The sequence below is a fragment of the Homo sapiens genome, chromosome 21, assembly GCF_000001405.40.
Source record: "Homo sapiens chromosome 21, GRCh38.p14 Primary Assembly".
Classification (NCBI taxonomy): domain Eukaryota; kingdom Metazoa; phylum Chordata; class Mammalia; order Primates; family Hominidae; genus Homo; species Homo sapiens.
The window spans coordinates 44,132,989-44,156,512 of NC_000021.9; the positions used below are offsets into that span (position 1 = coordinate 44,132,989).

The 23,524-nt window shown below is 56.8% G+C and overlaps 1 protein-coding gene across 6 annotated transcripts, besides 6 other annotated features; it reads left to right on the top strand.

The window, feature by feature from the left end:
* Positions 195-722: an enhancer, noted in NCBI's record as "H3K27ac hESC enhancer chr21:45553065-45553592 (GRCh37/hg19 assembly coordinates)". NCBI's record gives its function as "activates a minimal SCP1, AML or CMV promoter by ChIP-STARR-seq in primed H9 embryonic stem cells {active_cell/tissue: H9 hESC(primed)}" and the evidence as "EXISTENCE:reporter gene assay evidence [ECO:0000049][PMID:30033119]".
* Positions 695-12,723, top strand: GATD3 (glutamine amidotransferase class 1 domain containing 3). 6 transcript variants are annotated; one of them, NM_004649.8, is made up of 7 exons: positions 695-850; positions 1,114-1,166; positions 3,072-3,185; positions 4,189-4,308; positions 7,262-7,354; positions 10,217-10,373; positions 11,833-12,723. In NM_004649.8, the coding sequence occupies exons 1-7, from the start codon at positions 710-712 to the stop codon at positions 11,959-11,961; spliced, it is 807 nt and encodes a 268-aa protein (NP_004640.4). In that variant the 5' UTR covers positions 695-709; the 3' UTR covers positions 11,962-12,723. The 6 variants fall into 6 exon arrangements, 5 of the variants coding, with proteins under 5 accessions (NP_004640.4, NP_937798.4, NP_001307313.1 ...); NR_135220.2 differs by lacking the exon at positions 1,114-1,166; NM_198155.5 differs by lacking the exon at positions 7,262-7,354.
* Positions 723-1,250: an enhancer, noted in NCBI's record as "H3K27ac hESC enhancer chr21:45553593-45554120 (GRCh37/hg19 assembly coordinates)". NCBI's record gives its function as "activates a minimal SCP1, AML or CMV promoter by ChIP-STARR-seq in primed H9 embryonic stem cells {active_cell/tissue: H9 hESC(primed)}" and the evidence as "EXISTENCE:reporter gene assay evidence [ECO:0000049][PMID:30033119]".
* Positions 1,251-1,778: an enhancer, noted in NCBI's record as "H3K27ac-H3K4me1 hESC enhancer chr21:45554121-45554648 (GRCh37/hg19 assembly coordinates)". NCBI's record gives its function as "activates a minimal SCP1, AML or CMV promoter by ChIP-STARR-seq in primed H9 embryonic stem cells {active_cell/tissue: H9 hESC(primed)}" and the evidence as "EXISTENCE:reporter gene assay evidence [ECO:0000049][PMID:30033119]".
* Positions 5,071-5,220: a silencer, noted in NCBI's record as "silent region_13210". NCBI's record gives its function as "represses an Ori minimal core promoter by ATAC-STARR-seq in GM12878 lymphoblastoid cells {active_cell/tissue: GM12878}" and the evidence as "EXISTENCE:reporter gene assay evidence [ECO:0000049][PMID:35858748]".
* Positions 8,233-8,391: a silencer, noted in NCBI's record as "fragment chr21:45561103-45561261 (GRCh37/hg19 assembly coordinates)". NCBI's record gives its function as "represses an EF-1alpha promoter that drives an FKBP-Casp9 reporter gene in an ReSE screen in phorbol 12-myristate 13-acetate-treated (for megakaryocytic differentiation) K562 erythroleukemia cells {active_cell/tissue: K562(+PMA)}" and the evidence as "EXISTENCE:reporter gene assay evidence [ECO:0000049][PMID:32094911]".
* Positions 13,215-13,874: an enhancer, noted in NCBI's record as "H3K4me1 hESC enhancer chr21:45566085-45566744 (GRCh37/hg19 assembly coordinates)". NCBI's record gives its function as "activates a minimal SCP1, AML or CMV promoter by ChIP-STARR-seq in primed H9 embryonic stem cells {active_cell/tissue: H9 hESC(primed)}" and the evidence as "EXISTENCE:reporter gene assay evidence [ECO:0000049][PMID:30033119]".

Consider the following 23,524-nt stretch of genomic DNA (forward strand, 5'->3'; position numbering starts at 1 on the left):
CGCCATTGCACTCCAGCCCGGGCAACAAGAGGGAAACTCCGTCTCAAAAAAAAAAAAAAAAAAACCCAAACAGAATCGGCGGCTCACTTGCCCCCAGACTAACCCAGATCAAGCCCCTGGGTGGAACTGCAGTTTCCAGGATACAACATCCCGGGGTCAGTAAAACCCGGAGGGGTCGCTCCGTGGGAGCCGGAGCCGCGAGGAGACAGTCATGGAAGCGGAGGGGTAGTCCTGACCCCGCGTGGGTCCTGACGCCGAGATTAAGACGAGTGGCCATTTAGGAGGATGTGGACCCTGGACGCTCGTGGTGAGTTAAGGATGAGACGGAGGTAAGGTAAGAAGCGCCGGACTGAGCCGCCCCGAGGCAGCCTTGCTCTGCGGATGGCGGAAAGGGTGCGCCGCCTGTGGAGGCGTCCGATGGGGGCGGGGCTGGGGACCCCGGGAGTCACCAGCATCCCTCAGCCTCGAGCACGAGCCCTCAGCCACCACCGGAAGGAAGACAGGGTTCCCGGAACTCTATTCGGAGGCTCTGCGCAGGCGCGGCCCCCGCCCACCGGCGAACTCACTGGATAGGGCTGAGACGGGGGCGGGTCTTGGCTCCGCCCAGAAGGCTGCGCAGGCGCAGTCCCGACGAGCAACGCGTTTGTAGAGGGGTGGGTGCGCACGCTCTGTCCCTGCGTGACCTTCCGACCCCGCTGTCCTCACCGCAATGGCGGCTGTGAGGGTCCTGGTGGCCTCGAGGCTCGCTGCGGCATCTGCATTCACGTCCCTGTCCCCCGGCGGTCGGACGCCTTCCCAGCGCGCAGCCCTTCACCTCTCCGTGCCGCGCCCCGCGGCCAGGGTCGCGCTGGTGAGTGGACGGAGGGGGTGAGGTCAGCTCCCGCCTCCAGAGATCAGCCTTCGCTGTTCTCTGCCCAAGGTCGGCCCCTCTTCCTAGGTCCGCTCCCGCCGCCCCACGTCGGCTCCTTCACCCCAAGTCAGCTCCTGCGGCCCAGGTCGGCCCCATTTTCCCGGGTCAGCGCCCGCGGCCCAGGTCGGCCCCTTTCCCCCCAGTCAACTCCCGCCGCCCAGGTCGGCCCCTTTCCCCCGGGTCAGCTCCCGCTCCTCTCGCAGGTGCTGTCTGGATGCGGAGTCTACGATGGGACCGAGATCCACGAGGCCTCGGCGTAAGTCCTCAGGGGCAGCTGGTCCTCCACCCCGGGGGCCTCGAGAAGGCCTCTCCACCAGTGAAGTTTACTCTTTTTTGAACAGCTTAGAGAAAGCATGTATTTTATTTTATTTTTACTTTTTGTCTTTTGAGACAGCGCCCAGTCTGGAGTGCAATGGCGCGATCTTGGCTCACTGCGGCCTCCGCCTCCTGGGTTCAAGCGATTCTCCTGCCTCAGCCTTCCGAGTAGCTGGGACTACAAGCATGCACCACCACACCCAACTAATTTGTGTATTTTTGGTAGATACGGAGTTTCACCATGTTGGCCAGGCTGGTCTCAAACTCCTGACCTCAAGTGATCCTCCCGCTTTGGCCTCCCAAAGTGCTGGGATTACAGGCATGAGCCACTGCACCCGGCCGAGAGAGCTTGTATTTTAAATACCCTATTCTTGGCTAAAAAAAAGCAAAAACGACTTGCAAAACCCAGGGAGACGCTAAGAAAGAACAGTTTTTAAGTGTCGCTTATGCTGTCACCTAGAGCCTAGAAATGACTTAGCATTTCACTTGAGTGTTTTTCAGGACACACACATTTTGAAAACACTGAGATCACACTCACCCGTGTTTTGCAAATGTTTCTGACGCATGGGAAGTAATTCCCATTCATTCAGTTCTCAACATCATTTTAACAGTTGCGTGGTATTTCTGGGTCCTAGACAGGTTACTGTTTACGTAACTGGTCAGCTGTTGCTGAGTGCTTGGTGGCCTGATTTCCTGTGCTACTGGAAATGACTGCAGGCCGAACCAGTAGGGCAGGAGGCCACCACGCGTGCCAGGTACCTGTAGTTCCCATGTGGTTCAGGGTGAACTGGAGAGGGGAGAGCTGGGTGGTGGCGAAAGGGGTGTCAGGCCATGGAGAGTGGCCTGAGGCTGGTGGCTTTGTGGGTGGCCCACCTTGGCTGGTTGGAGTTGGCACTAGGCAGAGTGAGCTGGGGGAAAGGGCCAGGATGTGTTTCATGATTTGGCCTTGGTGGGATAGAAAATAGCCCCAGAATAGCTTGAGCCCTCCCAGGCAGAACGGCAGGGTCTTGTGTCTGGGGTGTCTGGGTGGATTTCTTATGGGTAGCGGAACCCAAGTGCCAGGGCCAGGTGCTGACCTCTCCCTCTGGCAAGTCACTGCACTTCATGCCTCGGTTTCCTCCTCCACGTAAGGGGCAGTGAGGGCTTAGTGTGTGGGTGGGCTTAGCCACCTATCTCCTGTTGGCACTGGGAGTTGCGGATGCCAGCGTGAGCCCCCATAATGTCAGCTGTTGTCCCCAGGAGGAGCTTCTGTTGCCCTTGCCCTTGGGGAGATGGAGCTGCCTGGCCTGTGGTGTTGTCCTGGGGTCTCTTGTGTCTCTCCCACCATCTGTGATGGGAAAGTTGAGGGAGACTAGAAATTGAACTAAGTAGTGACCGAAAGCCCCGTCACACCGTCTGTGCACGTGGCACTCTGAGCACACTGCTGCTTCTCACTCTTGGTGCTTGCAGCAAGCAACTGGAGGAGGGCAGCCAGGCCCTGGGTGTAGGTAGAGCACTCAGCAGCCGGGGACCCGCACGCCTCCAGGCTGTGCCCTCAGTGGAGTCACCCGGCCCCCATACCCCAGTTTGCAAAGGGAGCTGTTGGGACCAGCTGATCTCCATAGCCCACTTCTGAGGGTTTGTCATAGTCGTAACCCACCAACCGACAGTGAATTGGAATGGGGGTGTGGGGGACGTTTGGCTTGGTATGGAACCAACTGTAACTTTTTGCAGAGCAAGTAAGATATTAATATACATTAGGAATTTGCTCCTGGTACTTAGCTAAAATCCTGTTTTTAAAAATGTGTTAACACAAATCTGAGTGGGGCACGTTTTGAAGAGTTGTCTCTGGTTTTCCCCCGTGCAGGATCCTGGTGCACCTGAGCCGTGGAGGGGCTGAAGTCCAGATCTTTGCTCCTGACGTCCCTCAGATGCACGTGATTGACCACACCAAGGGGCAGCCGTCCGAAGGCGAGAGCAGGTGTGGGGGTGGGATTGGAACTTGCTTCTTGTCTACCTCCCACGGTGCAGCCTTTTTTTGCTGGCTTAGCTTAAACCAAGTCTTGTGTGCAAATGAACGTCCTTCTGAGCAGCTGTGCTCGGGCTGTTCCAGAAGTAATGCTGCCAAGGCTCAGGAGTGCCTTCCTTCCAGTACTCACAGAAGGACTGAAAATGGCGACCGGATCGCTTCCCACTGAGTCAGGCTGCTCATACCTTGGTCTTAAGCAAAGGTGGTGGTTCTCAGCTTGGTCGCCCACCTTCTTCCCCTGTCTGGGCTCCAGATCTGTTTTGCTGGTTCCCAGCAGCATGTCTGTTACTGCGGTGTGTGTGGTTCTGGCCTGTGTGGCCTGAGATCCCCTTCCCTTGCCTGTCCTGCCTGACAGCCCTGTGCAGGCCATTCCAAGGTGCCTTCCAACTGGCCTCGGACCACGAGAGGTCGGAGCTGGAGATTCGAGGAAGAAGCCATAGCTGCCTCCTGGGGCTGTGCTTCTCACCAGTGGGGACCCCTGTGATTTCTTTTCCTGCCTGGGACCCTGGCTTCTGCACCTGGACTTGCACCTTCGGCCCCCACACCTGGGGGCTAGCAGCTTCCTGCGGTGGCTGGCCTTCGGGTTGCTTCACTGGTCCTGAGTCCTGGCTTCTTACCTTCCCCTCTGAGTCCCACCGTCCTGATGAGTGCACAGAATTCTGTCTGCTTTAGACACTCGGAGAGACTTCCATTTCCCATGGGCCTTGACTGCAGAAGATTCAGAGTGATTTGGCGCAGGTTCTGAAGTGCTGATCGGAAGAGCCCAGCATAGATTTAGCGTTGCTAGAACCATGTTGTCTTTCCAGGTAGTGACCAAACATGCTGACCTGGAAGTAAGTCCCCGTGTGGCTGAGAGCCACGTGTGTGGAGCGTGTTGCCTGTGGGCTGTGCCCCTGCCGCGCTCCACAGTCCTTCACCTGCATGCTGAGGCTTTTTGCCCTGTGCTCTTTCCCAGGAATGTTTTGACCGAGTCTGCGAGGATCGCCCGTGGCAAAATCACAGACCTGGCCAACCTCAGTGCAGCCAACCATGATGCTGCCATCTTTCCAGGAGGCTTTGGAGCGGCTAAAAACCTGTGCGTATTTGAGCTCCAAGGTCTTCCGCTTTCCATGTGGAGCAGATGGGAAGGGGGTGCACCTGTCTGCTGTCCAATGTGGTCAGTGGAGCGGCGATGGGAGGGGGTGGTGATAGGAGCAGTCTCTGGGTTTAGGGTCTGGGCAGGGCACGTGCCTGCCCTCTGACTTGGGAGCTGTTCTTAGGGTTGGGTCTTAGGTAGCGTTGTAGCGAGCCATGCTTTTGTTTCTGCTTCTCTGCTGCCTCTTCTCTCAGCATTCCTGGTACCCAGCAGCTTGTCAGAGTGGGTTTGGGGCTCCCTCTTATCTCATCACTGTGCTGTAGGTCTCGTCACGTTGAAATCAGTCTCTGAGTATTTACTCCTTGCAAGTGCCAGTTTTTTTTCTCTCTCTCTCTCTTTTTTTTTTTTTTTTTCTGTAGAGATGAGGTCTTGGTCTGTTGCCCAGGCAGGGATGCAGTGGCACGATCCTAGTTCACTGCAGCCATGATCTCCTGGGCTCAAGCCATCCTCCAGCCTCATCCTCCTGAGTAGCCGAGACTATAGGCGCATGTCACCATGCCCATGGTTTTGTTTTTTTTTTTTTTTGGCCATGTATGTAGCCCAAATTGGTCTGGAACTTCTGGGCTCGAGTAACCCTCCTGCCTCCCAAAGTGCTGGGATTCCAGGCCTGAGCCACCGCGCCTGGCCCCAATTCTCTTATGGAACCTTGCAGGATCAGAAATGGGTTTCCTTCTTGGTAGTTTGGGCGGCGGTCCTGACAGGAAGAAGGGAGGCCGCCTTGGCGTGGCTGTTTTGGTAGCTGGACCGTGAATCATGGAGGCCTGGCTGGCTCCCACACGGTGGCGTCCTTGAGTTCCAGATCCTCTTTCTGTTCTCTGTGTCTCCTCTCTCTCTTTGCACATTCATGGAGGTTCTCTGGGCACCGCCCCCATGGCCCTGCCTGAGAGGTGGAGGTGGTGCCAGGCTGACCCTCCAGGGACAGCTCTGCCACCTGCAGGAGCACTGGCCACAGTGCATCGGAGCGTGCAGGTGGCTTCTGTGCCATGGTGTGGGTGGCAGCCCCAGCACGGCCGGCCCCGGTCGGCAGCTCCTGTTTCAAGGGCAGGTTGGAGGCTGGCTGGCCGCTTGCCCCACCCTGGGCAGCCTGCACCCAGAGTCGAGGGGTAGGCAGTCTCCATCCGAAGAATGCGCCCCTCCTTATCCCGAAACCTCAGAGGCCTCCTTCCTCAGATGCCAGCTGTTTTCTCAGTGCCCTTGGCCGTGCCCTCACCCCTCTCTCACCGGAAGCCCCACCCCAGCCTGTCGTCCCCGGTCTCCTGAAAGCCAGCAAGCCTCGTCGGTGCCGCCCACACCCCTGACCTCACGCAGCCCCACGTCAGGCTCGATCTTTTGTCCAGTTGTCCCTGCGTCGCTGCCGTCTCCACGAGGCTCTGACCACTGACACCGTGTGTGGCGGGGCGCAGGGGCAGCTGGAGGGTGTGCTGGGGGCTCCGTGCCCTGGCATGGCTCCTCCACATTTTGCCAACCCAGAGGCACAGGCGTGAGGTGTGTGGTGGTTCTCAGGGTCAGTGGGTCTTGGCCTTGGCTTTCAAGGTGTTGATGGGCCCTGGGACTGATGTGCCCGTGTGTCTGAGCCCACGTCCCCTGGGCGAAGCTCCCATTTTCACTGACCTGTCCAGAGCGTTCTGGGTGAGCCTGCCCTGCGTGTCCATGGTGCGGCGCGCTCTAATGAGCTGCAGCCGTGGCCACTCTGCACCCTCTGAGACAGTCACCCATGGGGACGGCGAACACCCACTGCCTCCAGAAGATTCCCAGCACTCTGCCAGCAAAGCCATGTGGAAAATGCTGGGGCAGAGGACTGGGGTGCGTGAGGGTGGCGTAGAGCCCAGGGGTGGGTTCGTGGGAAGGTGTGTCCACTTGTAGATTTGGTGGCATTGCCAGATCACACGCCCCATGGGCAGTGTGGAGAGACCTCCCCTGCCCCGCGTGCCCTCCACAGCTCCTGCTCCTCGGCCTGAGGTGTGGATGCTGGTGTCGCAGGTAAACTGGCGTTTCTTTCACGGTCATCGAAGCAAGAGTGCTTGGTATGCCTGGAGGCCGACTGCGTTTCTTTTTTTGGGAACTCCTGGAGTTTCCTGCTGCCCCTTTGTTTTAAGGAAAAACTCTCACACCGTGTTTCTCCTCCTCCCACCACAACAGTTGTCCACACAGAAGGTGGGTGTGAAGGGTCTTCCCCATGCACCACGCAGGGGTCGCTGCTGCCTTCTAATTCAGTTCCAACAGTATGGACCCGGGGTAGCGTCCGATCGCACGGGTTGAGGGCTCCGTCCCCAAAACTGCCCTCTGACACATACCGGTAAACTGTCTGAGCCTCTGGAACTGACCAATTGGCTTCAAGTTGGGGTTCCCACAACCCCGTTTGCTGGCGTGGCTCACAGTGCTCAGGGAAACATGACGTCAGCATTCTCCCCCGGGGAGTGGGGGACCCTCTCAGGAGAGGGTCCTGAGACCCACAGTCAGAAAGGCGGGGAACATTAGAGTCCTGCTTTGGGGCAGGTAAAGGGCAGGCGGGAAGGTCAGAGGCTGCCCGAGGCCCGACACAGCCAACGTCGTAACAGAAAGCTAACAAGCAGCACGGGAGTTAGGAGCCGGAAACCAGCGTCTGAGTCTCAGCACCGCAGCCCGGGTTCTGCCAGCTGCTCCGGAAGGTTCCAGGGCGTGGGCCCTCTCGCCCTGGTGGCCTCCTGCTGCACCACTTCCTGATCCTCCTGCTTCCTATGCTTATTTCTGTTTAAAAAACAGGAAAATATGTTCACATCAAACGCGCATATGTGCAGCCATGCCCATGTCCCTTGCTGCAGCTGACTGAGGGTCTGGAGCTGTGCCTAGGAAGCCCCCCAGGAATAGACCCTGGTTGTGAGGCTGTCTGAGGAGGCCTTTTGTCTCCCGGTAGGAGCACGTTTGCCGTGGACGGGAAAGATTGCAAGGTGAATAAAGAAGTGGAGCGTGTCCTGAAGGAGTTCCACCAGGCCGGGAAGCCCATCGGGTGTGTACAGCCGTGCAGGCCTCGGGGAGGGAGGGAGGAGGGTGCGTGGGCCCGCGGCCTCTGTTCTCAGCCAGGAGCTGCCGCTGATCCTGAAAACTCACAGCTGCTTTTCTTGTTTTAACTGAGGGGATTTCACACGATGTCACTGGTGACTTAACAGGAAGGAGAGGCACAGTGCACTTCCCTAGAGGAGGCCTGGAATTCTCTTGGCTCCCAGAGGTGTCCCTAGGCAGTCCCTCAGGACCCCTATCCTTTACCAGACCCCTTCTCCCAAGCCCCTTAGCCACAGTACCCCCAACCCCGCTGACTTCTGGCCAGTCACTGCAGCACGTGCTCCATCCCTGACGCCATCCACTCCCAGCGGCCTCCCTCCTGGGGAGCCACAGCCAACCACGCCCCTTTGTCCCTGCTCAGACAAAGCCTGGGTCCTGAGGTTGGCGGCACGAGTAGGGCGCCCACTCCTTCATCCACGTAAGCGCCTTGGCTTACGTGGCGGGTCGCAGCCCCGCAGGGAGTGTGTGCTCTTCAGCGTCTGCTGCCGGGAAGTCACTCTCAGATGTGTGAGGGTGACCCAGCAAGGCCGGGTTCCGCCTCGGCAGGTGTGATGCTTCCACGAGCCTCCCGGCACCTGCTCCTTGGTGGTCCTGGAACGCGGCGCTGTGCTGTCCAGGTCTCAGCTGCGTCTGGTGCTGGCAGGGCGAGAGCCGCACTTGCGTGGGTGAACATCAGTGAGGCGCACTCGCGATGGCCGCTCACTACCGAGTTCTGTCAGCCGAACAAGGATGAGGATCTATCGGAATCCTCTGTCTCCCCATCCACAGTCACTCACTTAAGGACCTGCCTGGTCACTGTCCAGGGAGGCCCCTAAAGTGGAGCCTCAGGAAGAGGTGCAGGCTCAGAGCTCCTGAAGGAGGTCCCTGCTGCAGCCGTGTCACAGCCGGGGTGAAGGTTTCGCCCATGGTCTCCACCTCGGGATCCCGTCCTTGTCAGAGAAGTGTTCCTTGGATGAGCGCCCAGAGGGAGGAGCCCATGGCCCTTTCTTCTGTGACTGATTAAAAATCTCGATGAAACAAGACAGCCCCTGGCAGGTGAACCACTGCCTCTGAGCATGCCTCCCCTGAAAACAGTGTGGGGCGCAAGCCCATCTCCTCCCCAATCCAGCCATGAGGCTCCCCTGGAAACAGCACAGGGCGCAAGCCTGTCTCCTCCCCGGTCCAGCCATGAGGCTCCCCTGAAAACTGCAGGGCACAAGCCCGTCTGCTCCCCGGTCCAGCCATGGGGCTTCCGTGCACGGTGACCCACAGGCTTTTTTCCTGAGGAAACCTAAATCCTTTCCCACTGGCCCCACCCACCCCTCAGCCTGGTGTCAGAGGCCTGCGTGGCCAGCCAGGGGCTGTTAGGCGGCCCAGCCGCTCACTGCTGGGACCCCTTCCTTGAATGCAGTAGTCGAGGTGGGCGCTGGGCTGTGCCAGGAGCCACTGTGGCATCTGTAGCTGGCAGTTGATGGCTGGGCGGCTGCACGCAGCGTCGGGAGCTGCTGAGAACCTGCTTCCTGGACTTTCTGCCTGCGCAGAGGGCGGCAGGGGGGTTTCATCTCATAGGCAGCCAGAAGTTGCTTCAGGACATGCAGTTTTGGGGGCGGGTTTGTTTTGAGAGTATCGCTCTGTTGCCCAGGCTGGAGTGATCTTGGCTCACTGCAACCTCCGCCTCCCGGGGTCAAGCAATTCTCCTGCCTCAGCCTCCCAAGTAGCTGGGATTACAGGTGTCTGCCACCAGGCCGAACTTTTGTAATTTTAATAGAGACAAGTTTTCGCCATGTTAGTCAGGCTGGTCTCGAACTCCCGACCTCAGGTGTTCTGCCTGCCTCAGCTGCCCAAAGTGCTGGGATTACAGGCATGAGCCACTGCACCTGGCTGTGAAATGTGTTTTTAACAGTGTTTCGTTACAGCTCACGGTAGCAGTTTCCACCTGGGCCTGTCGGGAGTGGGTAGGACTGTAGACAGCGGGAGGAGGGATGAAGGGTGCGGGGTGTTGAGGGCAGGGTGGGGCCTGACAGCTGTGGGCTACACCACAGGTTGCCAGGGGATGGGGCTGCTGTTAATGAGGCCGTACTCCTTCCACTGTTGCCCCTGGGTGGCCATGAGGCGCTGGACGACACAGGTCACTGAAGGCCCTGCTGTGGGCACAGTGCCTGGCACACAGGGGCCTCTGTTGACTTGGCAGGGAGGGGTTCCTGATGAAGCAGAAGCAGGTCCCAGGGGTGGGTGTGGCAGGACCCTCAGTTTCAGGGCTGCTGCGGCCTGTGCGTCAGGGTCAGGGGCGTGCGTCCACCAGCCTGCACTTGTTGAGAGTTGTGCTGCAGGTCGGAGGCTGGCGAGGCTGCTCCTGGCCCGTTGTGCCTCCTGTAGAAGGGGGGCTGGTGTGAATGAGAAGTGCAGCTGTGTTATCTATTGCTGGGTCACAGACCACCCCACAACTCAGGGCTGGGGCAGCCGCACATCATTACCCTCTCTGTGAGTGGACTTTGGCAGCCCGGGACTCTCGCCAGTCTGGGGTGTCCTGGGGCTTGGGGCTTAGCCCATGGCTGTTGGGGGTTCCCCTCAGGGGTCCTTGGCCTGGTGCTTGAGTGCCTGCAGGGCGTGCTTGGCGGGGAGTGGGGCTGAGGACACCTCACTCTCAGCCTTGAGTCACCTGGTGCCACCTCCATCACATCCCATGGGCCACAGCCTTCTGGCAGCGCAGGCTCACAGGGGGCAGGGTCGGCAGGGCTCCCGTGGCAGGGCAGCCTGGGGTCATGGCGAGGGTAATTTCTGTTCTGCAGGCCATGCAGCCTGCCTGACCCGTGTTCTTTTCGCCTTTCAGCTTGTGCTGCATTGCACCTGTCCTCGCGGCCAAGGTGCTCAGAGGCGTCGAGGTGACTGTGGGCCACGAGCAGGAGGAAGGTGGCAAGTGGCCTTATGCCGGGACCGCAGAGGCCATCAAGGCCCTGGGTGCCAAGCACTGCGTGAAGGAAGTGGTCATATCCTTCCTGGTAGCCAGGCCCGGCCCGCTGTCGTGCTTGTCCCTGAGACGTGCATAGGGACGCCCCTCCCTCCGGGCTGTCTTGGTGGGTGGCCTCTTCACCGGGAGCTGCACCTGCTGCTCTCCCTGTGGGGCCTCCCCCAGTGGGCACCGCAGCCATGTGTCTAAGGGCAGAGAGCAGATGGCTGTGACAGCCCAGCTGGTGTGAGGTGGGTCACAGACACGTCAGAAGCGCAGCTCTGGTGCGTGGTTGGCAGATCTGGCAGATCCAGGTCCCTTGCCTGACTGTTTAGTCTGCTCAGCAACACCCAGGCAGCCACACTCCGGGCCCAGCGGGGGGAGGGTGAGGAAAGAGTGTGTGCGAGGTGTGGAGGGAGAGCAGCCGGGCGTGCAGGAGGCGGGGGCTTCCTGAGATGCTGGGGGAAAGCGGCCGGGTGTGCAGGAGAAGGGGCTTCCTGGCTTCATTTGGGCGGAAGTTCTCAGGCCAGTTTGGGTGGCCAGGTGATTCAGCCAGCCTTGCGGCCCCCAGCCCCTCCTGTTGAGGTGTGTACCCTGAGTTCTGAGATGATGGACCAAGAACACCAGCGGGGCTGTTGCCCAGGGAGATTTGGAGGGAGGCTCCTGGAAGGCCCTGCCTGGATCTGGGAGAATGTCCATGTGAGCCCAACTGAGAGAACAGAACACTCCGGGGTGCCGGAAGGCACTGGAATGAGTAGAGCATGGACCCGGTCCCCTGCAGGTGTTGTTCTGAAGGGTGCAGTTCCTCTCAATGGGGCAGCTTTTTTCTCACAGGCAGCTTCAGACGTCAGGCCCCATCTCCCTCCCTGCGGCTTTCCTGCTGGGCAGGAGCGCAGTGCAAGGCTGGCCCCAGGCCTCTGACTGCTTGCAGGAAGATAGGGGCACGTGTCTTGGGTGGTGTGGAGGCCTGGCCAGTGGTTACATGCATGGTGTTGGGGAGGCTCAGGTCTGTGGCTGGCCGGCCCCAGTTGTGCCACCTGCTGCCCTGTTGCCTGTTGCCCTGCCCCATGAGGACCGGCTCCTTCACGGCCAGTTCTTCATCTGAAAAGCGGAGGTGCTGCCACTGCCTCCCGTGGTGGTTGTGAGCACCCCAGGCATGTGTGCGCCCCCATGGCGGGGCAGCTCGTGGCCATGTGTGGGTGTTGGGCCTGTGTGATGCTGGCATGAAAGGTGCCCCGTTCCCTGGAATTTCCCGCTGCTTTCTTCCTCTAGAATGCATGTGAATTGGGAACAGGTTCCTTCTTATGTTGTTCAGCAGCATAAATCATACAGAAAGCAGGGTCCTGCCGGCACAGACTGCACCAGGAGCGAGTTCTCCTCTTCCAAGTTATCTGAGAACAAAGTTAGGACACGCGGTGAGGGTGGGGGAGGGGCCGGGGCTCCACACCTGAAAGTCCCTCAGGTCCGTGCTGGGTGGCTTTTTCCGTAACTCTGCACACGAAGCTCACGTGGACCAGAAAAACAAGGTGGTCACGACCCCAGCCTTCATGTGCGAGACGGCACTCCACTACATCCATGATGGGATCGGAGCCATGGTGAGGAAGGTGCTGGAACTCACTGGAAAGTGACGCGCATGGACGGGGCCCAGCTAGGCGCCAGGACTTGGCCTCACCCTCTGGCTGAGGAGCTGTCGGCTGCTTTCCATCCAGCTGGGAGTCTGGCAGGCCCTTTTTTTTTTTTCTTTGCCGAAACCTGCAGGCGTTCTCTCTCTAAGGAGGATGTGCTGCAGTGCATGGGGGATGTTTCTTCCTGGGTGTGGCTGGGCTGCTCTCACATACAGAGGCCGAGGGGCCAATTCGTTCTCTGCCACAGGGACTTGCCTCACTGTGTCCCAAAAACAAATCGCAGCCAGCTTTTCCAGAAATAGAAAATTCTGCCGTCTGAGGTTTTATACTTCAGGTTAGTTAGTTTTTGGAAGGAAGAACATTTTTAGGTTTGCAAGCCTCCTGATCAGGAAACCAGAAATACCACATTTATGGACCATGAAAGGTTGGTTCTTGACTCTGAAGGGACTTTTGAGTTAATCAGCGTAAGGGGATTTCTAAAGCAGGCAATCCCTGTAGCCGCAGAGAATAAACGCCTTCCCAAAATGGCAACTTCCCACAGCCACATTTCAGACCTGCTGAGACTGCTGAGTGAGGAATGGCAGTGAGGTTTCTTCAATTAGTCTCAGTTCTCTTAATTTTCAGGAAGAAAGGGAAATTGCAGCCCCTCAGCCCCCAGGATTGACCTCTGGGGAGTGATGGTAGCGTTGGTGCCAGGCCGTGGGTTCAGGTGTGGCAGAAGCTTGCAGATGCGTCCGAAGGGAAATAAAGTGTGTTGGCGTTAGACTTTGTGCTGCATTCATCTGTGTGTTCAGGGTTGTTTGGGGAAGAAAACATTTGGGGTGGGAGTCAGGTGTCTGCACGCTTCACTCAGTGTCACATATCTGTTGCTGTTTGGGTCTGTCTCTGCCTGAGCAGCCAGGGCCAGGCCAGCCTGAGAGGCCCCACGCTGGGTGGGTGGCAGGAGCTGCCCAGTGTTGGGTGGCGGTGTGGGAAACGCCCACTCTGGCTGCTGGCGTGGCTGTTCCGTGTGGTCTGGTTTGCACCTCCCTGTGTGTCAGGTGCTGGGCCCGGAATGGGGGTGCAGGCCCTGGTCCCACAAGACTCGAACCCTCAATTGCACTGGTACCCACCACACCCCCTCGGCCCTCCCCACCCACTGCATGGAATCAGCGGATTCATTCTACCGCCTTGAGAGGGCGTGGGGGGCCCATGGGTAAGGCAGGAAGGCCCCGGTGCACCCTGCATCGGGTCTCAGCCGGACACTTCTGGTTCTTCCTCCGTGGGAGCTGGGTTCTCCAGTGGCCTTCCTCCCACGGAGGCCGGGCCTCAGGAAGTCCTCACGGGCGCCCACGCCCGCTGCAAACGCCCACAGCACTCGCCTTGGGGCCAGGATTACCCTGTCCCCAGCAGCGGAGGAGCCTCCCATGTCCAGGGTAAGGTGGGGCTCCTCCCCTTTCTCATAGGCTGGTAGGGACACATTTTGCATGGCTGGAGGGGGGGTACCCGTATACCACGCATGTTTATTCACGTGTGTGTGAGTGTATGGAAAAGTGCACAAGTCACAAGCATTCACTTTGGGGTTTCCACAAAGCAAATACGCAAAACCATCGCTCGGGCCTGGAACGGTGGCACTGTCCCCAGAGCCTCTCAGCCTCCTGCAGGCACTGGCTGCGTGCTTGTTTGCGCGCTCTCTCTGAGGTGATCCAGTGTGGCGCCCCACACGCAGGTGCTTCTGCTGGGCCAGGCCTGTCCTCACCTGCATCTGCCCTTAGCCCAGGTGGCCCTGTGGGTCCTCAGTGTCCCCACTTGCAGATGAGGCTTTGCTCCCCCCAGGGCCCTGCAGCTTGTAGGGCTTGGCTGGGACTCAGCTCCGGGCAGCGCAGCACCAGAACCCCAGCCCTAGAAATAGATCTTGGGACGTTGGGAAGCCCAGAGAGGGGCCGTGACAGAACCGGAGAGCTTGGTCCTGGGTTCACTGCAGGAGAGTTTGGTCCTGGGTTCACTGGACAGTGACTCCGTGGCTGCTGCGTGCCAGGCACCTTCAGGTACCAAGGGCATTGTCACGAGCATGCCCTCGTCCTGGAGTTCAGGTGGGGGCAGCCAGTATGTGGCCCGGTGAGCCATGGAGTCCCCCTGGCAGTGGTGGGGGTGTGGACATGCTGGGAAGGAGGATGGCAGTGCCAGGCATGCATAAAGTGATCAAGGAAGGGGACAAGGGGTCCAGTGGGAACAGGAGCTAACCAGGGGTTCAAGGTCAGGGCGTGGGGAGGGAGGGGCGCTGGTGACATGCATGGTTCCCGGGACCAGCCCGTCCTGCCATCCCAGAGGCCTCTGCATCCCACAGGCTGTGCACCCTGGAACGTGGTTGTGGCTTTAGGTGCTGCCACCAGGGGGCGTGGCAGAACTGTCTTTGGGGCTGACCACGGGCAGGCGGCCCCTCACCAAGCTGCTTCCTGTTGGTGCCATCAGAGTCTGGGCTATCCTCTCCTGAAGCCCTCTCTGGTCTCCACATGCCCCACCCCTTTGCCCTGTCCCTCTTGTTTCCTTCCAGGGTACCTCCTCACCTCCTGTCCAGGTCACCAGAGCTTCACCTGTGGACATGCCCCATTCCCTGATAATCCTTTCTTCATTCTCCATTTCTCCACCACTCCCAGCTCCCCCAGCACTCCCAGCTGCTCCACACTCAGTCCCCTGCTCCACACTCAGCCCCCAGCTCCCCCACCATTCCCAGCTGCTCCACACTCAGCCCCCAGCACCCCCACCACTCCCAGCTCCTCCACACTCAACCCCCAGCACCCCCACCACTCCCAGCTGCTCCACACTCAACCCCCAGCTCCCCCACCACTCCCAGCTCCTCCACACTCAACCCCCAGCACCCCTACCACTCCCAGCTCCTCCACACTCAACCCCCAACCCCCCCACCACTCCCAGCTGCTTCTCCATTCCCACCTGTTCTTCCTTCCTGGTGTTCTTCTCCCCAGACCTGGTCTGACTGTCCCTCCCAGTCCCTCATTACCTGGGGATGGACGTCTTCCGCTCTGACCTCCAGGCTCTCTTGAAGGCTGCTCCTTCCCTTTCTCCCCCTGAGCTCCTTGCTGTCTCAGACCCCTGCCCAAGGAGGCCTGTAACTCCAGCCCTTCTCTGTGCACTACACTTGGAGTGGGGTACCGCCCACTCAGCATATCCAGACTGGGCCCCCCACGCGTACTTCTTCCTGTCTCTGTCTTGGGGGCCATCATGTGCCCAGATCCCCATGAGAAACTGGTCCCAGCCACCTGTTTCTCCCTGCCCCTCCCTCTGCCGCCAGCTATGGGTTTTGCCTCCAAATATGTCCAAGCCACCCCCTTCCTCTCCTGTGCCTAGACCGGGTTCATGCCTACTCCCCACATCTGGTCCTGACACCTTCCATCCCTCCCTCCTGGGACGACCAGCCCCCCTCTTTGTATTACTGGCTCCCCTTGTCTCTCGGCTCTCAGCATCACTCTGCAGAGAGGACTTCCCAGCACGCCCTGGCTGAGGAGGGGTCCCTGGGCCACTCGCTGCACAGATCTCGAGGTCTGTGAGTACACATGTATCACAGCTTTGTCATCTGTCTCCCCACTGCACTGGGAGTGTCAGGAGAGAGGATGGGGGCCTCATGGGTGCCCTCCACCTTCCCCGGCCAGGCCCGGGCTCTGAGGTGGTGGGCTCTGGGCATGAGCAGGCCAGTGCGTGCTGCGAGGCCCAAGGCTCACGGACCTGACACGCCCACCTTGGTGCCCGCCCTCTCCCAGGCCCCTCCCACCTACTGCTGGCCAGCGTCTTCCTCTAGGGCTCCCTCAACATCACCTTTTCTGTTTTGTTTTAAATAGACTTTATTTTCTAGTGCAGTCTTAGCTTCATGGCAAAATGGAGCAGAAGGTACAGAGAGTCCCACACACTCCCTGCCCCCACGCATGCACGGCCTCCCTCACCATCACCCCCGCACACCCCCGCCCGCCAGAGCACACATTTATTAAGGCAGCCAACCCACACGGATGCGCCATCACCCCGAGTCCACGGCATCCGTTAGAGCCCACTCTTGGTGTTAGCCATTCCGTAGATTGGGACAAATGTAGGACACGGGTCCGCCATTTACAGAGAATGCAAAATGGTTTCATTGCCCTGAAAACCCTTGGCTCTGCCCGTTCCTCCCCCACCCTCCACCCCCGTAACCACTGATGGTTTTTACTGTCCCCACAGTTTTGCCTTTTCCAGAATGTCATGTGGTTGGACTCATGCACTATGTGGCCTTTTCTGATTGACTCCTTTCGCCTGGTAATAGCATTTATATTTCCTCTGTGTGTTTTCATGGCTTGACAGCTCATTTCTTTTTAGTGCCGAATAATATTCCATTGTTTGGCTCTACCACAGTTTATCCATTTACCCTCTCTCAAGAGCATCTTAGGCTTGTCCCAGTTTGGGGCATTTATGAATAAAGCTGCTATAAACACCGGTGTGGAAGTTTTGGTGTGGACATACATTTTCACCTCTTTTGGGTAAATCCCAAAGGGGATTTACCAGGGAGTGTGATTGCCGGATCATATGGTGAGAGTTTTGCAAGAAGCTGCCAAACTGTCTTCCCAAGTGGCTGCACCATTTTGTGTTCCCACCAGCAATGAATGGGCGTTCCTGTGGCTTCACGTCCTCACCAGCATTTGGTGGTGTTCGTGTTTTGGATTTTGGCCAGCTGATAGGTGTGTAGTGGTATATTGTTTTAATTTGCTATTTCCTACTGACATATGATGCTGAGCCCCTTTTCATGGCTTATTTACCATCTGCGTATCTTCTTTGGTGAGGTATCTGCTCAGAATGTTTGCCTATTTTTAAATTGGTTGTCCCTTTTCTTTTTGTTGAGTTGTAAGAGTTGTTTGTAAATTTTGGCTCGTAATCCTTTCATGGATATCTCATTTCTAGTTATTTTCTCCAGGTTTGGGGCTTGTTCTTCTTATTCTCTTGACAGTGCCTTCACAGAGCAGTTTTTAATCTTAATGAAATCGAGTTTCTCACTGGTTTCTTCTTGGATTGTGGTCCGCCCCCGCCTTATTAAAAAAAGAAAGAAAGAAAGAAACAGGGTCTCACTGTGTTGCCCAGGCTGGTCCCAAACTCCTGGGCTCAACTGATCCTCCTGCCTCAACCTTCCAAAGTGCTGGGATGCCAGGTGGGAGCCACTGGGCTCAGTCTTGTGTTTTTAAAACTCATCACCAAACCCTCGGTCATCTAGATTTTCTCCTGTGTTATCTTCTAGGAGTTTGATAGTTTTGCATTTCACATTTAGGTCTGTGATCATTCTGAGTGAATTGCTGTAGGGGTGGAATGTGTGTGTTGGGATTCATTTTGGGAATGTGAACGCCCCGTTGTTTGGCTCCATTTGGTGGAGGCTGTGCCCCATTGCATTGCTTTTGCCGCTTTGTCACAGACCAGTTGACTCTCCATGCGGATTTGTTTCTGGGCTCTCTCTCCGCTTTCACTGGTCTGTTTTGCCAACACCCTGTCGTGAGTACTGTAGCTTTATAGTAAGTCCGGAGCCTGCCAAGTCTTCAGAGTTGTAATCTGCCCCTATCAGATGTCCAAACCATGCCCCCAGGGCCCTGAGATCAGATCCCCAGGAGGGCCTGGCTGGAGTACCCATAGCCCTGAGCGCCAGGAGAGCAGGGTCTGCCTGCTGTGGGAGGTCTGTCCTCGTGAGGCCGGACACCCAGCCCTGGTTGTCCTGGTCCACCTGGTATGACCCTGCCCTGTTCCTGCTTCTCCCAAGCACCCGTGACCCTGGGAAGCCTGTCACAAACACCTCCCTGGACAACCCATGCTACAGAGTGCACCACGCCAATTGCCACCACAGCCTCAGGCAGCACTGTCACCCACAGCAGAGGCCGCCCTCACAATCTCACACTTCAGGAGCCCAGGTGGGACGCTAGCCAGGGTCCCTAGAGGTGGCTTTGCCGGCCCAGGCAGCCCCATCTCTCCGGGACCCCGCTGCTCCCTGGGTCCAGCCCAGGCCCTGATTCAGCAGCAGCTCCATAAAGAAGTAAAACGAGAATATTCACGGGGCCCACACTTAGTGGACTCCTGTCACATGGTGTCCAGCATGGCTCGTGGGTGAGGACAGCAAAACCACCAAGAAATGACCCGAGAGGCCAACAGCAGCTCCCTGGGAAGGCCACACTCTCCAGGAAGACATAGCAACTCTGAAACACACAACTTAGGTAGAAATCTAACAAGATATTTACAAGATCTGTGAGGAAAATTATAAAACTTTAATAAGTCAAAGAGGTAAAATGGAAAGATATTCCACACCCCTTATTATGCATAACTCCTTTTATTCCTGATAAGCTTCTTTGCTCTGAAGTGTGCTCTGAAATTAATATAGCTATTCCAGCTTTCTTGTGATTAATGTGAGTATGGTATTTCTTCCTCTGTTCATTTACTTTTAATCTACATGTGTCTATTTATTTATTTATTTATTTATTTATTTAGAGACAGAGTCTTGCTCTGCCACCCATCTCTACAGTGATGAGATCATGGCTCACTGCAACCTCCGCCTCCCGGGTTCAAGTGATTCTCCTGCCTCAGCCACCTGAGTAGCTGGTCTACAGGCACAAGCCACCACGCCTGGCTAATTTTTGTATTTTTAGTAGAGATGGGGTTTTGCCGTGTTGGCCAGGCTGGTCACGAACTCCTGACCTCAAGTGATCCGCCCGCCTCTGCCATCCAAAGTGCTGGGGTTACAGGCGTGAGCCACTGCGCCCAGCCATTGTTTTTATTTTTAAAGTGGGTTTTGTGTAGATAACATATAGTTAGGTCTTATTTTTTGATCCGTTTTGACAATCTCTGTCTTTTAATTGGTGCATTTATACCACTGACATTCAAAGTCACTGTTGATATAGTTGGATTAATATCTACCATGTTTGTTCCTATTTTCTATTTTTTGTTTTTGTTTTTTATTTTTTCTGCCTTTTGTGGTTTTAATTGACCATTTTATGATTTTATTTTCTATTCTTTCTTAGACATCAATTATACTTTTTCACATTTTCAGTGGTTACCCTAGATTTTGTGATACACATTTCCAACTATTTCAAGCCCACTTTCAAATAACACTGAACTGCTTGCTAATCGGTAGCCCAAGTATTTTTTGTTTTGTTGTTTTTTGAGACAGGGTCTTGCTCAGTCGCCCAGGCTGGAGTGCAGTGGTGTGATCACGGCTCACTGCATCCTGGAACTCTTGGCTCAGCCTCCTGAGTTGCTGGGACCACAGGCGCATGCCACAGCACCTAGCTAATTTTTGTATTTTTTATAGAGACGGGGTTTTGCCACGTTGCCCAGGCTGGCCTCAAACTCCTGGCTCAAGCAATCCACCTGCCTTGGCCTCCCAAAATGCTGGGATTATAGGCGTGAACCTCTGTGCCCCACCAAAAGTATCTTTTAATAACAGTATGTTCCCAATTCTTCACTCCTGTCCCCTGTATCACTGCTATTATTAGTTTCACTTATACATAAGCATATATAATCAAGTACATTGTTATAACTTTAACAAACTTTTGTCTGTTCCATTAAGATTAATGGCCAGGCATTGTGGCTCATACCTATAATCCCAACACTTTGGGAGACTGAGGTGGGAGGATCGTTTGAGGCCAGGAGTTCAAGACCAGCTTGAGCAACATAGTGAGAGCCCATCTCTCCAAAAATTAAAAAACGAGCTGGGCATGGTAGTGTGCACCTGTGGTCCCAGCTACTTGGGAGGCTGAGGTGGGAAGATCGCCTGAGCCCAGGTGATCAAGATTGCAGTGATTACACCATTGCACTCCAGAACAAGACCCTGTCTCAAAAAAAAAAAGAGTAAGAAAAATAAAAGCTTTTATTACCTTTCTTATTCCTTCTCGATCACTCGTGCCTTTCTTTATGTAAATCCAAGTTTCTGACTTGTACATTTTTTTTCCTCTCTAAAGAACTTTTAACACCTTTTGCAAAGCAGGTCTACTAGTAACAAATTCTCAATTTTTGTCTAAGTCTATTTTTCCTTGACTTTTGAAGGATAATTTCGCTGGATACAGAATTCTAGGCTTGTGGATTTTTTCTCAACACTTTAAATATTTCAGTCCACTGTATTTTTACTTGCACAGTTTCTGTAAAGTCAAAACTAATTCTATAAGAAATGAATGTATTCTTTGTCTGTAGTTTAGGTGTTCCTCCCCACCCGCTGCTGGCTTCTTTCAAGATTGTTTCTTTAACTTTCTGCAGTTTCAATACCAAATGCCTAGGTGTAGATTGGGCATGATACCGCTTTTAGCCTGCTCTAAAACACAAGCAGGACTTGGTGCCTGGACAGGCACCCAGCAGGGGAGACAGTTCCAGGACTCACCCCAGCTGCTGCGAGCGTTTCCCTGCAGGAATGGGATGTGGCTGGGGAAGGGGTGTGGCTGTGGAAGAGGTGTGGCTGCGGAAGCCTTCCAGGCTCCTGCTGGGTCTGGAAGTGCTCCCTACCCCCGTGTCTGTGTTGCTTTCCTGGGGCCTCCAGCCGTGGTGAGAAAGGCGTGGGTGGGGGCCGAGGGAGGGGCTGGCTGGCTTTAGACTGTGCTGCTGCGTAGATGGGTGCCTGGCAGCCTCCCTGGGCACAGCCGTGGAAGAGACTGCCATCTCCGTCAGCCTCAGTCACCCCGACCCTGAGGCCCAGCGGCTGTCCTAGAGGGGAGGAACTGGAACCTGGGAAGTCGACCAGGTGTGCACCATGGGGTCATTGGCCGGCACTAACCACCAAGTGGCTTCAGGGGTGGGGGCAGCCTGGGTAGACCAGGCCAGGAGACCGGCCCAAACCAAACGGCTGACTCACGGGATTGTGAGCAAATACAATGATGGTTTCAAGCCACTAACAAAATCTCTCAATTTCACTTAGCGTCATGTTCTCGGGGCCCATCTGTGTTGCAGCGTGTGTCAGAGTTTCCTTCTTATGGCTGAAAAATATTCCATCGTGTGCGTGGGCCACATTTTGTGTGTTCATTCCTCTGGCGATGGACGCTCGGGCTGCTTCCATGTTTTAGCTGGTATGAATAATGCTGGCGTGAACATGGGCGCCAGGTGTCTCTCTGAGACTCACTTTCGGTTCTGCTGGGCCCACGCCTGGAAGTGGAATTGCCGCGTCATGTGCTCGTTCTGACTTGAGGAACTAACTGCCTTCCTGCTCTCCCTGCAGCTGCGCCATCTTCCAACCCAGCAGCGCTACACAAGGCTTCCGGTTTCCCCACATCCTCGCCGACACTTGTCACTGTTTTTGTTGATAATGGATGTGAGGTGGTTGTGGGGATTTCTTGCCAGGCCTTCCCGGGGAGCTGCTGTTGGCCTCTCGGGTCATTTCTTGGTGGTTTTGCTGTCCTCACCCACGAGCCATGCTGGACACCATGTGACACGAGTCCCCTAAGTGTGGGCCCCGTGCATATTCTCATTTTACTTCTTTATGGAGCCACTGCCGACTGCAGGGTCCGGGCTGGACCCGGGGAGCAGTGGGGTCCCGGAGAGATGGGGCTGCCTGGGCCGGCAAAGCCACCTCTAGGGAACCTGGCTAGCATCCCATCTGGGCTCCTGAAGTGTGAGATTGTGAGGGTGGCCTCTGCTGTGGGTGCCAGTGCTGCCTGAGGCTGTGGTGGGAATGGAGCAGGGCACTCTGTAGCGTGGATTGTCCAGGGAGGTGTTTGTGACAGGCTTCCCAGGTCACGGGTGCTTGGGAGAAGCAGGAACAGGGCAGGGTCATCCTGGGTGGACCCGGATGACCAGGACTGGGTGCCTGGCCTCAAAAGGACAGACCTCCCTGAGCGGGCAGACCCTGCTCTCGTGGAGCTCAGGACTGCCGGGGCTCCAGCCAGTCCCTTCCCCGCTCCTCCTGGGGACCTGATCTCAGGGCCCTGGGGGCGTGGTATGGACGTCTGACGGGGCAGATTCCATCTCTGGTGATGACTTGGCAGGTCCCCAGCGAGAGGAGCGCAGCACCCTGGCTGGTGCTGCGGTGGGGGCGAGGGGAAGGCGGGGCAAGGCGTTCTTCCCACGGCCAGGCCACCGAGTCGCCTGGAGGGCCTCATGAGGAATGAGTTTCACTGCCCAGACAAGCAGTGTTGGCCAGCCAGGCCTAGTTCCTGATTCCAGCTCAGCAGCTGACTCTCCTGCCATGGGACCTCAGACAAATCATGTGCCCGCGGCGGCTCCAGAGAAAGGGGCTGAGGACACCTGCTCATGGGGCTTGCAAGGACTTGAACTGCATGCGTGCGCGGGTGTGCACATAGGCACGTGTGACGTGTGTATCCGTGCGTGTGCAGGTGTGCACATAGGCACGTGTGATGTGTGTATCCGTGCATGTGTGTGTGCGGGTGTGCAGCGCACCTGTGGGCAGGCAGGTGTGTGTGCACACGTCTGCACATAGTCATGTGTGATATGTGTATCTGTGCACATGTGTAAGCCTCTGGGACCAGGTCCGGTAGGCCCCAGCCTGCAGGTGTGGCATGAATGGTAACTATTTTTACTGCCTTGCAGTGTGAGTTACCTTCTTAGAAAACCACTGCAGCCACAAGAAAAACAAACAGCAGCCAGTCATTTAGAGACACGGGCTGGGTGCTGAATGCAGCAGAGCCTTTCTATGGCGAATGCGGAGCCTGTGGCCGGCAGGAGCCGGGAGGGCATCGTCTCTAAGCCTGCAGCTGGCCGGGTGCTCCCGCTCCTGTGGTGGTGGCAGTCCAGGGCTATCAGGCGCTCTGGCTGTCCCGGCTCCCGCCTCTGCCTGGTGGGCAGAGGGGAGGATTGGCAGTTTGCTCCTGCCGTGTGGCGTGTGGCTTGTGGGACGCCCACATTGCCGGTCCTCAGGCTGCGGCTGGGACACACCTTCCGAATTTTCCGAGGACCAAGTGCGGTCACACACAGGACCATGCTGTAAACCTGCGCGGCTCCGAGCGAGTGCACGGGGCTGGCGGGCCCTCGATTCGTCAGCAGTCGGGGTCAGTGCTGGCCCAGAGCCAAGGCGGCTCGTGGGTGTCTGGGAGGTTTGGGGTTGCTCAGAGGAGCCCCCCAGGTCAGACTTGGTGCTCCAACCCCTTCTGGAATTCTTTGGTCCATCCCAGAGCTCGGCTCACATTCTTCTCCCATCTTTTAGGCCTTCTGGAACCTTCCAGGGCCCTGTTGCTCCCACTACTTCTTCTGAGGGCGTGCCTACCACGTGCTGGCTCTGTACGTATTTTACCTCATTTAGCAGTTGCTGCAGATGTGCATTGTAGCCGTATCGGAAACCCAGCGCTGCTGTGGCAAAAAATCACCACACCCCAAACCAGCAGAGATTCACCCCACACCCCCACACCAGCAGAGATTCACCCCACACCCCCAAACCAGCAGAGATTCACCCCACGCCCCCAAACCAGCAGAGATTCACCCCACACCCCCAAACCAGCAGAGATTCACCCCACGCCCCCAAACCACCAGAGATTCACCCCACGCCCCCAAACCACCAGAGATTCACCCCACGCCCCCAAACCAGCAGAGATTCACCCCACGCCCCCAAACCAGCAGAGATTCACCCCACGCCCCCAAACCAGCA

Coding starts and splice junctions, on each gene's coding strand:
- GATD3 (NM_004649.8), top strand. CDS start 710: ATGGCGGCTGTGAGGGTCCTGGTGGCCTCGAGGCTCGCTGCGGCATCT. Junction 851..1,113: donor CCGCGGCCAGGGTCGCGCTG/GTGAGTGGACGG, acceptor CTCCTCTCGCAG/GTGCTGTCTGGATGCGGAGT. Junction 7,355..10,216: donor CAGGCCGGGAAGCCCATCGG/GTGTGTACAGCC, acceptor TTCGCCTTTCAG/CTTGTGCTGCATTGCACCTG.